The sequence below is a fragment of the Homo sapiens genome, chromosome 20 (genome assembly GCF_000001405.40).
Source record: "Homo sapiens chromosome 20, GRCh38.p14 Primary Assembly".
Classification (NCBI taxonomy): Eukaryota; Metazoa; Chordata; class Mammalia; order Primates; family Hominidae; genus Homo; species Homo sapiens.
In genome coordinates, this window is record NC_000020.11 from 24,015,033 (window position 1) to 24,031,465 (window position 16,433).

Genomic DNA, 16,433 nt, shown 5'->3' on the forward strand with positions numbered 1-16,433 from the left:
TCTCTGTTCCAGTGTCTTGTGGATTTTCTCCTCCCCTATTTCTGACCATGAAAGGCAGCATCCCCGCTGCCCTGCCCATCGGTGGCACTGCTCCCTGCAGTTCTCTGGCCAGATTCAGAACCCACAAAACGAGACCTTGTCTCCCTTTCCCTTTTCCAGCCCAGACTCAGACCCAGACCCACCCTATGCAGCCTGGGACACCCTTGCAATGGCTCCCAGCCTCCTCAGCTCTCTTGCAGCGCTTGTTATTGTAAACCAAACCCATTGCTTCCTTTCATATACCTGGTGCTAACCTAACCTGTCCTGATTCCCTTTCTCTACTTCTCGTGTCCTTCCAATACTTCAAAACTACATTTAATACTCCATGTTCACATGAATCATGTATGAAAAGAAAAGCTATTGATTTATATTTTCTTTTTTGTTGTTTTAATGATATGCCTTCCTTCGCATTCTCATTTTTGTATATGGTTGCCTATTACAGCAAGTTCCTCAAAGAAAAATGTGAAGTGATGTCTGTGGCTTTGTATTATAAGGTAGATATCTTAAATTCCTTCTTTTAAAAAATAACTATATCAGGTCATTATTTATCTCTAAAAGAACTAACTTTTATTAATAAACCTTAAGGCTCATTTGCCACTCTACCTACTCATAGGAACTTCTAATAAACTCATCTGTATAAGAGGAAACATCCTTGGCATGTCATGGGTCTTTGCAGAGATTAATGTAGTAAATAAGTTACATCGAACAGTTCCTAACTCTGCTCTAGTGACAACAGCAGCAGCTGGCCCCCTTGTCCTCATGCCCACTCCCTATACAAGAGTGGATTCTGTGCCCTTACTTAAGCATCATTGTCTCCTTGTGCAGTGTTCACCAGGACCCGCAGCGGGGTGAGTTTACTAAGATGGTGTTGAGTCCTGGTTCCCAAGGACAGGCCTCACAGCCTGTGTCAGAAAACAGCACAGGGGAGGTGTAGGTCCGAGAGGTGGGTTGTCCATTGCAGTCCACCTATCACCTTCTCCAGACAACACAGCGGGGCTGCTCTGTGCTAGGAGTATTATTGCTTTCTGAAATTGTGCAGGGATCTATGCACTGCTCCTTTTAGTTTGAAATACTTTCAGACTGTAAGCAGTTTAAACTAGATAAACTGTATTTCCTTCCAGCTAAAATATTCTCTCATCCTGTCTTCATAAAACCCATGCATGCAGAGAATCCAAAAATAAATCACGCAATGCATGTCACCTTCGTTTCCCATTGCCTTGCAGCCCAATCAAACAAAAATTCCTTAAACACAGCCTTATTAAAGTCACTGCTTTGTAACTGCTGGGAATATGAAACAAGCAATTTAGTCTCACTTGAGGGACAGACCCCACCTTCTGGTGTTTGATTCTGTGCCCTTCCTATCTGAACCACCTTCCTTGACGATCTCTGCTGTTAGCTTAGAAGGAAAACACTATCCATGATTGTTCTATGTTCCCAGCTGATTGGAGCTATGGAGGTGAGGTGTACTTGAAGCTGGAGAACCTCCTATGCTTGATATGTTTTATGTTTTGCAAATTCCTCTAAATACACAAGAATGCTAGTTGCTGAGACAGGCAGGACTGCAAGAACTTGGTATTTACCTAAGACCCTGTAGCACTTTTCTGTAACACTCCAAAATCCTGGCACCTCCTGGCCATCATCCTCACTGCTTCTCCCACAGAGTCCCGGTCAATCATTAACACCAGCCTCACTCATCGCTCAGCCACTCAGTACGACAATGATGGTGGGAACGCAGATCTGCTGTCCCTCTAATAACTGTCGAGTAGGAGATCGCAGAATGTCAGCTCCAGAAATGGCTCGCATATTTCCTGTGTGTTATTGCTTTTTAACCCAGATCATCTTGGAAGAGAAATAGCTTTCATTTATATTCTAAACTCATGCAAAGGGTGGTAAAGCTTGCTGATTCAAGAATCTGATTTATTTTACAGAAATTAACATAACCACTAAAATCAAACCCATTCCCTTCCCCAGTGTGGTTGCTAAAGTGGCCCAATTATGATAAAGAGAGTGCAAGAGTATGAGTCTCATTTTCTGCTCATCTATTTTATTTTGATGCCTTTATTAAATGCAGGAGGCACGGCTGCTCTGATGGGTCTCCTCCCTTCACTCCTCTGGAACAGCCCTACCTTGCCATCAGCATCTGGTTTTTTTTTAAACAATATGTCTTCTGATTTAAACAATGCCTTTATTATTGTATTAAAATATACATAACATAAAATTTACCATCTTAACCCTTTTAAAGTACACAGTTCAGTGATATTAAGTACATTTACATTGTTGCACAATCATCACCAGCCCCATCTCCAGAACACTTTTCATCTTCAAAACTGAAACTCTGTACCCATTAAACACTCCCCACTCTCCCCCTCCCAGCCCCTGGCAGCCACCATTCTACTTTGTCGTGACGAATTTGATGACTCTAGCCACTTACATAAGTGGAATCATTGTAAGTAATGAATCACTGGCTTATTTCATTTAGCATAATGTCCTCAGAGTTCATCCGTGTTGTGATATGTGTCAGAATTTCCTTCCTTTTTAAGGCTGAACACTGTTCCATTGTATGGAAATGCCACATTTTGGATACTGTCTTATTTCTCTACCTGTATTTCCTGGAAACAACTTCCCACTTAGCATCTATACCCAAGCTCTTAGCTCAGTGTGTGCTTTAGAGGGAACACAAATCAAGGAGGATTTACATGTTTTTTACCCCTTTGAGGTGTTTTAGACCCTGGCTTATAAGTGAAATCAAAAAACAAGGGAAAGAAATGCTGAACATGAAAAAAAAAATTCTTCTGAAGGAACAGAAAAGAATACCAGGGCTACTTAGAGAAAACTCAGGGCAACAGAGTTGATATAAGGGCGTGTAACTCATGGTAAATGCAAGGGGAGAGTCCACAGACTCAGCCAGAAGACACAGCAATCGTGAGTCGAGGCAAATGGATCAGGGTCTGTGGCCAGTGACTTCTTGGTGTGAGGGACCCAGAGGAGGCTCATTCCCAGCACAAGTCCCCAGAGAGCTGGACAACAGCTTAGGGCTCTACAGGGAGCAAGAACCTAGGCAAAGGTGATGGTTCTCAAGGACTCAGGTAGATGAGACAGGTGAGCAGCCTGCTCCAAAAGATAGGCATGAGAGTGAAATTTCTAATATTCTCCCCTGGCTGGTTCTCTCTTGGTCCTGGCTGGTGACAGCTGTGGCCAGTTGGGGAAGGATTAAAGTGGCAAACCAATCTGAACTTCTTAAAGTTTCCCCCAAATGTTATATTTGCTTCAGTGGATTCCACGGTTGAGTCTACAAATATCAGAACTTTGGGTGTGTGAGCTTGTGTTCTCTTTTCCCTTCTCTGAGACTGTCTGTGCAGTCCACAGTCCTAATGACCATCTTCCCATCCTTTGGCAGAGCGGCTGAGCTGCCATCAGGAAGAAAGGTCTTGTGAGTAGCTGCACAGTTCATCCCCACTGTAGATCACAGCTCAGGGCTTTTCCGTTGAGCACTACTGATTCATTCTGGGTTGCCCCTTAGTTCGATTATGAGGTGCTCTGTGTAACACGGCTGTCTCTTGTAAGCCTGCTCTTTCCAAGACAGAAGAATGAAGATGTCTTCAATAAAGGAAGTGGATAATACTGAGCCCTTCGTGACATCCTTTACAAGCTGAGCATGCGCAAGCACAGGGGCAAGTGCTCCATAAACTACCAAGTTTAGTAGGGGTGAGGAGGTCCTACTAAAGGACTGGAGAGACCAGGTGAGTGCAGAATGAGAGGAGCTCCTGGGGGTTTATGTGGCAACAGGGGCCATCCCCTGGAGGTGGTGCAGATCCAACAACCCTGCATCCTTTAGCCTGGCTGTTCTTTCACTGTGACTCGGAATGGGGAATCAGTAGCCAGAGAACAAAGCCTTGTGGCAGCTGCTCTCACAGCCACACCCACATTCCCTGGACACTGACTGCTCTCAAACCCTCATGTGGAGTACTAGGGTGTGTGCCGGTGACTCCCCAGGGCTTGCTCTCCCCACTCACAGGAAGTGCCAGAGCCCAATTCCCCAGGAGCAGCCTTCAGCCAAGGAGGATGGGGTGCTGGGTGGAAAACAAAATTGCCCTCTTCCTCACTTTTTCAGGCAAGTCTGAGACAAGTTCCACACCAACAAGCCCCCAGGTTGCATATGAGGTGCTCACAGCAGAGACCTGCTCATTAACTGCTTCCCCTCCTTCCCTGTCTCACTTTTTCACAAGTCATCTGTGTCTTCCTGGAAGCAGATGCTGGGAAGGAGTTAGAAGTGCAAGTAATTCCTTGAGGTGCATAATACCTGTAAAAGAAAACTGGGTGTGATTGTTAATACTGTCTGTTAATGTAATTGGATTGAAGGATGCAAAATATTGATCCTGGGTGTGTCTGTGAGGGTGTTGCCCAAGGAGATGAACATTTGAGTCAGTGGGCTGGGAAAGACAGACCCACCCTTAATCTGGGTGAGCACCATCCAATCAGCTGCCAGCGAGGCTAGAACATAAAGCAGGCCGGAAAACGTGAAAAAACTAGACTGGCCTAGCCTCCCAGCTTACATCTTTCTTCCATGCTGGATGCTTCCTGCCCTCAAACATCAGACTCCAAATTCTTCAGTTTTGGGACTCAGACTGGCTCTCCTTGCTCCTCAGCTTATAGATGGCCTATTGTGGGACCTTGTGATTGTGTGAGTTAATACTTAATAAACTCCCCTTTATATATATAGTTCTGTCCCTCTAGAGAACCATAACTATTACAGACTTTGGTACCAGGAGTGGTTCTAGAGAAACAGAATATTAAGAATGGAGTTTTTTCATTGGTTTTGGGTTTCTGGAGTTGGCTGCTTAATATAATTAGATCCAAAAATGATAAGGACTCTACTTCTAATAGTATGGAGAACACTGATAGTCCTTGGTGTGAACTGTTTAGAGAGTTACGCAAAATAAATGCATCTGACACTCCTAATTCACCACTCACAAGAGGCAAGGAGTTTGGTGACTCTATACATAATACCTTTGACTATATGTGGAGAACCAAGGAACATAATGAAGCTGGTTGGTTGCTCCTAAGTTTGGTGGAAAAAGTGACAAAAGAAAATGATGAACTCCGGGATTCTAACTCCCAGCTTCAGAAGCAGATACTGAGGCTCAAATCTGGTAAGACTGCCCTGAGTGAGGGTCTTATCTCCTGTAGAGAAATAACTAAAATTGTGGAAAAACAGACATAAGCTCTTACAATGCGAGTGGCTGACCTGCAACGAAAGGTGCATGCAGAGCTTCCCCAGGTGTCTGCTGTTAAAGTGAGGGCATTGATAGGAAGAGAATGGGACCGTGCAACTTGGAATGGGGATGTGTGGGAGGACCCTGATGACACTGGGGACACTGAGTTTGTAAACTCTGATGAAGCTTTTTTTGCCAGAAGAAACAGCTTCCCTATCCCCAGTAGTGGCAACATCCCCTCCCCGACCCATGCTGCCATCAGCCTTTCCACCTTTGTCTGAGGAGTTAAACCCTGTGCTGCCTGAGGCAACAGTGATGATGGCCTCAAGGCAGTTGCCAGGCAAGATAATGTTGATTCTCCTGAGGAGCCACCCCCAACACCCCTGTTTTCTTCGAGACCTATAACTAGACTAAAGTCCCAGCGGGCCCCTAGACATAAGGTTGAGAGTGTGACCCATGAGGAGTTGCAGTACACTCGAAAAGAACTGCTTGAGCTTTCTAATTTATATAAGCAGAAATCTGGAGAACAGGCATGGAAATAGATATTAAGGGTGTAGGATAATGGTGGAAGGAACATAGAGTTGGATCAAGCTGAATTTATTGCTTTGGGCCCACGAAGTAGGGACTCTGCATTTAATATTGCAGCTTGGGGAGTTAAAAAGGGTTCTAATAGTTTATTTGTTTGGTTAGCTGAAATATGGATGAAAAGATGGCCTACTATGAGCGAGCTGGAAATGCCTGATCTCCCTTGGTTTAATGTAAAGGAAGGGATTCAAAGGCATTGGGAGATTGGGATGGTGGAGTGGATTAGTCACTTTAGATCTACTTATTCCAACTGGGAGCATCCAGAAGATATACCTTTGACCAATGCCTTGCAAAATAGATTTGTGAGGGCAGCACCTGCATCTCTGAAGAGCCCTGTAATTGCTCTTCTCAGATCTCACAGTGGGAAACTACAACAGCCCAATCCAGGTAGGACTACAAATTGCCCAGACTCTTTAGGAATGAAGGTTTGGCTTACTCCACAAGGAAAAAAAAAACACACACACACAACCTGCTGAGGCACTTGCTAAAGGCAAAGGGAATACAGAATGGGTAGAAGAATGTAGTCATCAATACCAGCTATGACCACAAGACCAGAAGCGTGACCAGACCTTTTTATATATATAAAGGGGAGTTTATATGTGTGTGTGTGTGTATATGTGTGTGTGTATATGTGTGTATGTATATGTGTATATATATATGTGTGTGTGTGTGTGTGTATATATACATAAAAATATATATAGATATATATCCTATTAGTTCTGTCCCTCTAGAAAACGCTAATACAGTTGGGGAAGAAAACCTGACACCAAGTGCAGGGCCAGTGTTGGGCAGGGGGAGCCTTGGACTGTGGTGCTGACTGAGGAAGGCTCCGCCAACCCAGAGATTGCCCATTAGAGGCGTCCAATGCTGGGTGCACTGAGTTGGGCTGCAGCACCAGCCAAGTGCAGGCCGTGGCAGGGATGGCCTGCAAAGAGTTTGTCTGAGTAGGAAAGCAGGGGCAGATCCTGGTGGCAGCCAGTGAAGGCTGCAGAAACCCGCCTTCCTTGCAGCTGGGCAAGTTCTCCCTTGAGGGGAAGAGAGGTATTCCACAGTGCTCCCCACCACTGCTCCCTCCAAATCGCCACTCAAACCAATTCCTGCTCTGGATCCTTTCCTCAAGGTCTGCTTCTGGGGGAATGAGCCTAAACCAAACTTTCAGTTAATATTTATTATGCTTCATGTGCCCCACTGTGCAAGGTGCATATCCCTAAAAACCGTGGGTTCTTAATGAATGTGTTTCCTGCTCCCAATAAGTTCATTCCAGTTTTTCTCCTGTGCAGTTTTATGCTGCACATAAAAATACATGAAGGGAGATTGCAGGATCCCTACTAGAGAAGCAGGGCCACTTGCAAATTGCAAGCAACTGAACTAACATGATGTAGAGGAAAGCTGATATCTGTCACTTGCATGAATGTGTACTCTGAACAAGGAAGGCAAAGGACATGGGGCAGGCATGGAGGAGAACAACCTTGAGGTGGGTCATCACAGCCACAGTGCCCCAAGTGCTCTGAGTTCCAGCTTGCAAGGCTGTCCTGGGAGGTGCCTGTTTCTACTTCATTTTCCCTTTATGACACCCCAAATAAATGGCACAGCCAGATGCACAAGAAACAAAAGACTTTTGAAGATTTACAGGATTTAAGATAAGGATCCTTGTATCAGGAAGCAATTGTATGAAAAAAATAGTTAAGAGCAAGGTTTCCAATTTATATGAACACTCAGATTTGTCCCACAGGTTATTAAAGCTGAACAACAAGCTTTTCATTCTGCTTGGAGGCCAAAAGCCGAAAAGCTATTAACTTGCATACATCTTGTGTGCTTCAAAATTGAAATTAGCTTCTTTAATTGCATCAGCATAAAACAAATATCTGTTCCTCAGAGGACCTGGTTTTAAAGGCAGCTTGAAATTAAGTGACCCCAAGGCCCACACAGATGTCATGACAGCAGCTATGAAAAGAGGTGATTTACTGTGTAATTGGGAGTGGTGCAGAAAAGTTGAAATAATGAGAGAATTGTTTTTCTTTGTGTTTTCTTCCTTATTCTCTGGATTTTATTTTCAGCAATTAAGTGCTGATTAGTTCCTCTACTGCCTGATGCTTTGAGACATGCATAACAATCAGCGAGCCTGCAAATTGAGTGGAAACCCCTAATTGCTTAGATAATGATCCCAACAGAAGCTGCTCCTCAGGAGAGGAACCGCTCATGATATTACCAGGCGGGGGCCTAGGTGTCCTCTTCTTCCTTTCTTCTCACCTGTCTCAGCACAGGCCAATTCCACCAGCAAAGGTGCCCAGCTCACCTGCTTGGTCCCCTGGAGAAATATTGAGGCCACAGGAAAATGGGGCCTGAAGACTGATACTCCCAGGAAGAAGCAAGACTGAGAGCAAGAAGGAGACAAGGGGACCAAGAGCAACAGGAGCAGAAAAAGAAAGAGGAAGAGGACGAGGGAGGGAGGAAGGAGAGAAGGGCAAGAAAGATGACTTATTTGTCCACAGTGCCAATGACAGGTGCACCTTCCATCTTTCCCCACTAGGCCGATTGTTAACTTGGCATCAAACCAAGAGTATTCTTAAATTTGCTATTTGAAAAATTCAATAATTATAATACAGATAACTTGCTTTTTTTGTAGTGTTTTTCTCTGAAATATTTGTGATGATATCTTATAATTTTGGTGCACAAGTTTCTTTCATTTGGGTTACCTCTTTGAGTCACCCCATAGACCTCAAGGAAGTCAAGGTTATGTAAGAAATGATACTAATGAGGGGTCCAGGCAATTCTTGTAGGGGCTGAGAGGTATTTGCTGACTATCTTTACATACCAAAACTTAGTGCCTTAAAACACCATTAATTCAGCTCATAATTTTTGCAGGTCAGGTGTTTAGGAAGGTCTAAGCAATTCTTGGTTGGATTTCTCATGCTTGTTGCAATCAGCCTTGGCTGGAGCTGCCCTCAGCTGAGACACTTGCGCTGGAGGTCCAAGAACTTGCTCAGCTGATGTCCCCCTCAGCCTCTCCAGCATGGGGACCTTAGAGGAGTTACATTTTTGATTGGGCATCCAGGTTCCCTTGGCATGACCATCCCAGGAGAACCAGGTAGAAAGTTTATGCCCTTTACCTGCTGATGGAAGTCACACAATGCCCTTCCATTCTGCCTGTCCTTGCAGTGACTCTTTATGGTCTGCCCAGATTCAAGCGGGAGGCTCATAGACCTCTCAATAAAGCACCAATAAACTGCTGCCGTATTTTATTATCGCAAGAGACATTTGCAATGCAGTGATTGAAGAAATATGGCCCCAGATGAGTCTTGTCCCAGGACTAGAATCTTAGGTGTCCTAGCAGTATTCCAGGACTGCTTCTGTGCCCAACAAGTGCTTCTTGGCTCTCTAGGCATAAAACACACAGGACACTCCATCATGGGACCTAGTGTACTGCATTATTAAATAGAATAAAAAATTAGCCATGAAAAGAGAGGGGAAGGGATTAATCACACTCCTATGCTTACATGCAGAACTGCCCCCACTCTGGCTGAGTTGCAGCAGAGATAACCACTGTGTCACAGCACTTGTGATACTGCTGTAATTTATTATTTATGGTACACAAGTAGCATGCATGCATCTTTTCAGATATCATGTGAGGTACTTTTAAAACATCACATAGCTGCAGGCACTAGGCCTGCATAAAAGTAAAGCAAAATTACCCTCACTGTCAACCCAGCTGTGGGGATGGCTCTTGACTTTTAGAAGTACAAAGGTGGAGCAGCTTCTCCTTCTCATTAATCATTCTGGGAAGCCGTCATACAAGCAGAAACTGTTGTTCTCATTTTTATTAGTTTTCCCTATAGGGATTCAGACCAGTGATGCTTATCACCTTCTTTCCAGGATGTGAAGGGTCAATGTGCCTATTTTCAGCTAGAGAGGGATTAGAGACGGAGGGAATTTGGTATTACTGCTACAGAATTAGATCTGATGGAGCCGGATAGTTACATGACTGTATCATGTTTGGGATCATAGAGCCTACCTATTAAGACATGTGAGAAGTAGAGTGGAAATAGGAATACTTTTATACAATAAGTAATAGTAAAATTCATAATGATTATCAATATAATATGCACATACGATAAATAAAAATAAAAAGGTACCCAGGTGCACCATGAAAACACAGCCTCTTGTGCACCCTTGTGCCTTCCCCCAGACTTGCAACTTGTTCTGCCTTCTGGTGGCTACCACCACAGCACTAACTAATGTGCCCATTACGCTTTTTCGTTCGTTCTAAAATAATTTTCAGACATCATCTGGTAAATTTCTGATTTAAAATTTAAAAAAATTAGCTCACCTAAATCATTTTATTCTCTCTTTTCCACCTCTTCCCAATTGTAGGCAGGCCTTCCATTAGTTACTGTGTAAATACAAGTAATATCATTAAATATAGATTTATGTTTCTATCAATTTATAAAGTATCTTTGGATTCATCTCTATTTCTGCACCCACTCCCAAACCTCTATCAATTGGATCTTTGTTAGGGAAGATAACATCTATTTTATATTCTGTACCATAGGTGATTTAAAAGTTCAAAACTAATAAACATACTCAATAAAATATGGCAAAGTAAGTGTGGTTTACCCCATAGCCAAGTACTGTGGTTGACTTACATTTCCTTCTCCAAGCCCAGAATCGTGGCCTGGGACAACACAGGCAGATATTTCTAGGAGAAAAATCAAGTTATACCCCCACTGCCCAGCAGACAACATCTTAGTTTGCTTCATATTTGAACCATAATGTTCTTGAAAATATTTTGCTTTGCCTGAAATTTCTAATTGCCTTTTGTTTCTTGAATCTTGTGCAGGTTCCACATTTTCCCAAATGTATGAGCCTCTAACCTAAGACATGTCCAAAAGTTCTTTACTTACAGGGACATGATCTAGGGGCTTAGAGGGCCCTGGAAAAGTAAGATAATATATTTTAAAGACCCAATTTTACACAAAAGAACAAAAAGAGGAAGAACTATAGCAGAATGCCACTGCTGTGGATTCAGACTTCACCTCCCTGCCCACGGAGATGATTGAAGGGGAAAAAGGACAGAACATGAAACTAACAAGCTTGAGGCCTTATCAGTGTCTATATTGGCAAATTGAGGAGCGATGCACTCCCCAAGGTGGGTAAGCTGGTGGAAATGGCACTGCTGACTCCCAGGCAGGTGTTTGTATACTGATGTTTGTCTTCCCACACACGAATGAAAAAGACCAGGTAGAGTGAGCTCCTAGCCCACCCCTCTCGCCCTCTCTCCATACCACCGTGCTTCCTCTGTCCCTGTTCAGCAACGAGAAACAAGCTGAAATGATCTGTGCATACATATTGCAAACAACAACAACAAAAAAAACAATGAACGCAAAATCAAATAAAAACATACATCAGAAGTGAAATTAACCAAAGGAGAATGAATGTAAACACACAGTTCTCTAAGATGCTCAATAAATCACAAATATCATTACTCCATAAAATCAGTTAACAGATAAATACGTACAGCTAATATGTATCAACTGAAAAAAAAAGTTAAAAGATAAATAGAAATTCAGGTAGATATTATAAAATATCAGAGACAGACCCATAAATGCACTGATCAGGTTTCACGAAGATGAGAACAGAAGAAATAGAACAGAAATAATGTATCCAAGTGGTAGTAAAACAAAATATTGTTGAAATGAGCAGCTGAGTCTGTAGACTTAGAGGCCACACCATTCCAGGCAACACACATACTCTGGAAAATGTGTGATGAGTGCCCTCCTTTAATTCTTGGGACATTTATCGGTCCCTGTATTTATACTTCAGTGTTTATGGTTTTTGAATATTTTGAATTGGGATTTCCAAATATTTTCTCCCATTTTCCATCATCTTTACTTTTTTATTTATAGTCCTAGAGGGCTTTGTCTTTCAGCCTTACCAATAATTTTATTTGAACTTCAGAAATACTAATTTTAACTACCAAGAATATTTTCTTGTCCTTGATTCTTTCCCCGCAGCCTGTCCTTGTCTTAAGGATATAGTTTCTCAAATACTTGTGATGATGTTTTGGAGCTTTGAAAATGATCTCTTTTGAATTATCTCAATTTCCTGCAAAATATGTTACTTTTGTCGGCTTTGGCTGTTCCCCTTGGAATTGTCGCCTTTCCTCCGCCTCATTGAGCAGAGCTTCCTTGAGGACTGGAACAATTCCAATAGCTCATCTCCACCTGTGTGCATCTCCCCTCACTCCAGCCACAGAGGTCAGCATCTCTCTGAATTTTGGTTTCGCCGTTCTCTTTTTTGAATACATAAGTCTAACCTTCATATATGTATGTTTAAGTAATATTTATTTTAAATTTTAAAAATATATTGAAATACTATTAAAGTATGTTTCTCCAGGGACCTATTTCTTATTTTTCCTCCCTTAACAAAGTGTTTCTATGATCAGTCCTTGTTGCTGTGTGTAGCAGTAGTTGATTTTCAGACAGGAAGCTCTTGTAAATTACTCTGGCCAGTGAAACAAGTAAAAGGGTACATGTGTCAGTTCCAGGAAGTGTTTACGAGTCAGCGCGTGATTTCCTGTGCTCACGCCCATGGCTGCCACATCTGGGGAAGCATGTGTTGACGTGGAGCTGCCACAAGATCAGCACCTCCTGGAGTGATGGGCTGCAGCCCCGAGAAGGTGGCCCTGGAGAGTTCTGGGAGCCAAAGCAAAAGTGGCATGAACAAGAAATACATTTTGCTGTGCCACATCAGTAAGATTTTCCAGCTATTTCTTAGCACAGGATAATCTACCATACCTTTTCCTTCCTTTCATTTTTGCGTCTGCAGTGATGGTATTCTATTTCACTTTTCTATACAGATCACTGATTGTCTACCTCCACCTACGAAGCAGTCCTTTCCTCCCCCAGGGGCCTGCAGTGCATCTATTTGTGTGAGCCTGTTTTGGGCTTCCTTCTGCTCCATCATCAGCTCATCAGTCCTGAACAAATACCTCTGTAGTCTTCATTACTGCAGCTTAATAGTATCTGGTGTAGTAACTCTCTCTACTTTCTATTTCTTTTTCAGGACTGTCTTTTCCAACCTTACTTTACTCATCCATTAAGTTTTAGAAACCTACAACCACATACACAATGGAAAGCTTGTTGGGGTTTTGGTTGTGATTGCATTTGAGGAGCTTATCGTTACAATATTGAGTGTTCCTACTCATCGTAGCTGGGCTATGGGCTATTTTTCTTTTTTGATATATCTAAAGCATTATAACTTTTTGGAACAAAAGAATAGGATTTCTTGAGTTTAGGCAACCATCTGGAATTAGAAGTCTATTTGCAACAGTGTTTCACAGAGATAAACTCAGGACTCAATACCATAAAGCAAAGTACAGGGAGGAGAGGGGTTGGGGAGAGGACTAAGCTTCAGGTATTTTCTCTGTGTCGGATGCCCCTTGGGTGTCATGCATGCAGTATTTCAATTTATTCCCATGAAACCTCTATCTAACATGTAGCATTTTCTCCATGAAATCAAGACCCAGTTATGTTAAGCAAACTATCAAAGCTCAAACCCTGGTAAAAAGTGACAGGGCTAAGAATTGGAGAAGGCCACTTGGATTTCAAGCCAGGCTTCCCCAATATCATCATGACAAGTGTATTAAAGAAATTCGAAAGATTTTGCCTGGCTTTCTTGAGGTTGATGGATTGGCTTATTGTCTTGGCTAATGCTTTCTATCAAATTTTTAATTATTACAATAAATTTTATTTTTATTATTTATTTATTTATATTTTATTTTTTGAGATGGAGTTCCATTCTTGTTGCCCAGGCTGGGGTGCAATGGCATGACCTCAGCTCACTGCAATTTCTGCCTCCCTGGTTCAAGTGATTCTCCTGCCTCAGCCTCCCGAGTAGCTGGGATTATAGGCGCCCGCCACCATGACTGGCTAATTTTTTGTATCTTTAGTAGAGACGGGTTTTCACCATGTTGACCATACTCGTCTTGAACTCCTGACCTCAGGTGATCCACCTGCCTCAGCCTCTCAAAGTACTAAGATCACAGGCGTGAGCCACCACGCCCGGCCTACAATAAATTTTAGAATAATATCCTGCATAGGCTGATAAAAAGTTTATGACTTTAAAAAGTGTCTATCCACAGGCCAATTTGGCAGAGATCAAGAGATATTTTGTCATCTTTCCATCAGCAGATGTTGGTGAACTTAACACTTGAAGGAATAAAACAGCAACAATGCTGTCAGTTCTGGAGAGGCGCACAAGATGGGCACAGCTGTTGCAATGTTTTGAGAAAGGACATTAGTTTCTTCTTAGTCTCCATCGTCATATTCTTCTTCCATAACCTAGGGGGCAATTTATTACCAGTAGAAATAAATTGCATTGTGTACCAGCTCTGGCTTTGAAGTTTTCATTTTCTGTCTGTGTAATAACATGCTATGATTATGTATGAACTTCTAAATGGGAACAGAGGAGACTTAATTCCATTACATTTCCCTGGAGAAAGGAAGTCTAATTCAGTTCATACACAAGGATTCTTCTTGTTATATAACCGTAGTGTTTGGAGCATTATTTTCAGAGTTGTTGACTGTGGCTTGATGAGATTTTATTTTATGTAGCCAGTCCAGGCTACCAATATTTGACTTAACTTGAGAGGCAATAATACAAAGAATTTTCTTCCTTCTGAACTTGTAAAATGTACCTGACTTTCCTGCCCCAACCGTAGGGGAATATGAATTTAGCTCTGATAAAATTTAGCATCTAAGTTAATTTTGCTCTCTCCTTTCCACAGGCTGAATGTTTTTCTACCAATGCATAAGATCTACCAGCCACAGACAGGCACTGTTTTTAGATGGTCTTGAGGCATCTCATTTTACAAAGGATATAGAAACAGACGGATGCTATATAGAAACTGGTGGAGTGGGGTGGAAGAGAAGACAGAAGACAAGGGTTATAATTTAATCATATAAACTCTGGATGCAATAACCAAGGTCTCCCCAGAAAGCTGTCAGTGTATACTTGTGTGGTGAGTAGATTTCTAATCAGCTCTAGAAGGGTGGCCAAACACAGCTAAACTGTGTCTTTTAGTAGCAGGAAAAGCATCTGCTATAGTTTAGATGTTTGTCCCCCAAACTCCATATTGAAATTTGACCCCCAATATTGGATGGGGGCCTAAGGGGAGGTGTTTGGATCCTGAGGACAGATCCCTCATGAATGTCTTGGTACTGTCCTCACAGTGAAGAGTGAGTTCTCACACTATCAGCTCCCTTGAGAAACTGGTTGTCAAAACAAGCCTGGCACTCCCCATCCCCTCACCACGTGGTCTCTGCACACACGAGCTTCCATTCACTTTTCATCATGTATGGAACCAACCCGAGGACCTCATTGGAAAGAGAGTGGATGCTGGCACCATGCTTCTTGTTCAGCCTGCAGAACTGGGAGACAACATAAACCTCTTTCCTTTATAACTTACCCAGACTTGAGTATTTCTTTGTAGCAATACAAACAGACAAAGCATCTGACAAGCAAGTTGTTCAATGAAGAGATTGTTAGAGCCTGGGGAAGAGTCATCATGTTCAATTGGTACAAGATGCAATTAACTAATATGATTTGGGACAGCTGTCTCCATTGAGGTCACCAGGGTGTCATGGAGTGAAGCTTCAGGAGGAAGAGCTGACTACTTCCTACCCTGGGCTCCATTTTTGTCAGGGCTCTACAGAGAGACAGAACTGACAAGATATAAAGAGAGGAATAAAACAAAAATCCAGATATTTCTATAAATCCGATTATTTGCCAAATTAAATGTGAAAGCTTGCCTCTATCTCTTTCCATTGTGTGCAGATATTTTGCACAGTGTGGATTTGGTCTCTAGGTGTGAGTGTGCCCTGGACACAATGCATAGTAGACAGACATTGTGCTTCGTTGTAGACACTGTGCTAGGCACGTATTACACATTGCCCCAAATCCTTATCACAAACACATCAGGAGTATGATGGCCAAGGAGGAAGCTGTGGCTCAGCCCATTGAGGCTGTATATCCAGGGATCAACAGCCAGTAAGTGGGTGTGCTGACTCCCAAGGCCAAAGCCCACCTACTTGCCAGGTAACTTTCTAGGGATATGAAGGCATTCTATGTTATGATGGTGTGTGTTACATGAGTGTATCTGTCTACCAAAAGTGTGCTTCCATGATTTATGCAATCAGATATGGGATATAATGGTAACTCATGTTTTTACCCAAGGATTTTTTCATCACCATAAAACATCACTTCTACTCAGCTTTATTCTAATGATTTGAGGCAGAGTTTAAAAATCTGTCAAAATTAAATATATTTTTAACAAAGTGAAGACATCTAGACAAACAGACAATGGGGTAGGAAAGATGGAGCTAAAACCAGGGCTGAGTTTCATTCACAGATGGCTCGAGGTCCTACTCAATTACTAGAAATGGGCTAAATATTCACCTCTAAGCTTTCCAATAAGCAACACAGTAGGAACAATATCAACGCAATAGGCCTCAGAGTCCATGAGAAATAAACTAAACAGTTGCTTAGGGAAAGCAGAGCTATTTCTGGTAAGAAATTCAGAGAGAGTTTTCCTTTGAG

The 16,433-nt window shown here is 42.5% G+C and overlaps 1 annotated feature.

Moving 5' to 3' along the window:
* Positions 3,423 to 4,622: an enhancer, noted in NCBI's record as "MED14-independent group 3 enhancer chr20:23999092-24000291 (GRCh37/hg19 assembly coordinates)". NCBI's record gives its function as "activates an origin of replication core promoter dependent on BRD2, BRD4, P300/CBP and CDK7 cofactors, and independent of MED14, by STARR-seq in HCT116 cells {active_cell/tissue: HCT116}" and the evidence as "EXISTENCE:reporter gene assay evidence [ECO:0000049][PMID:35650434]".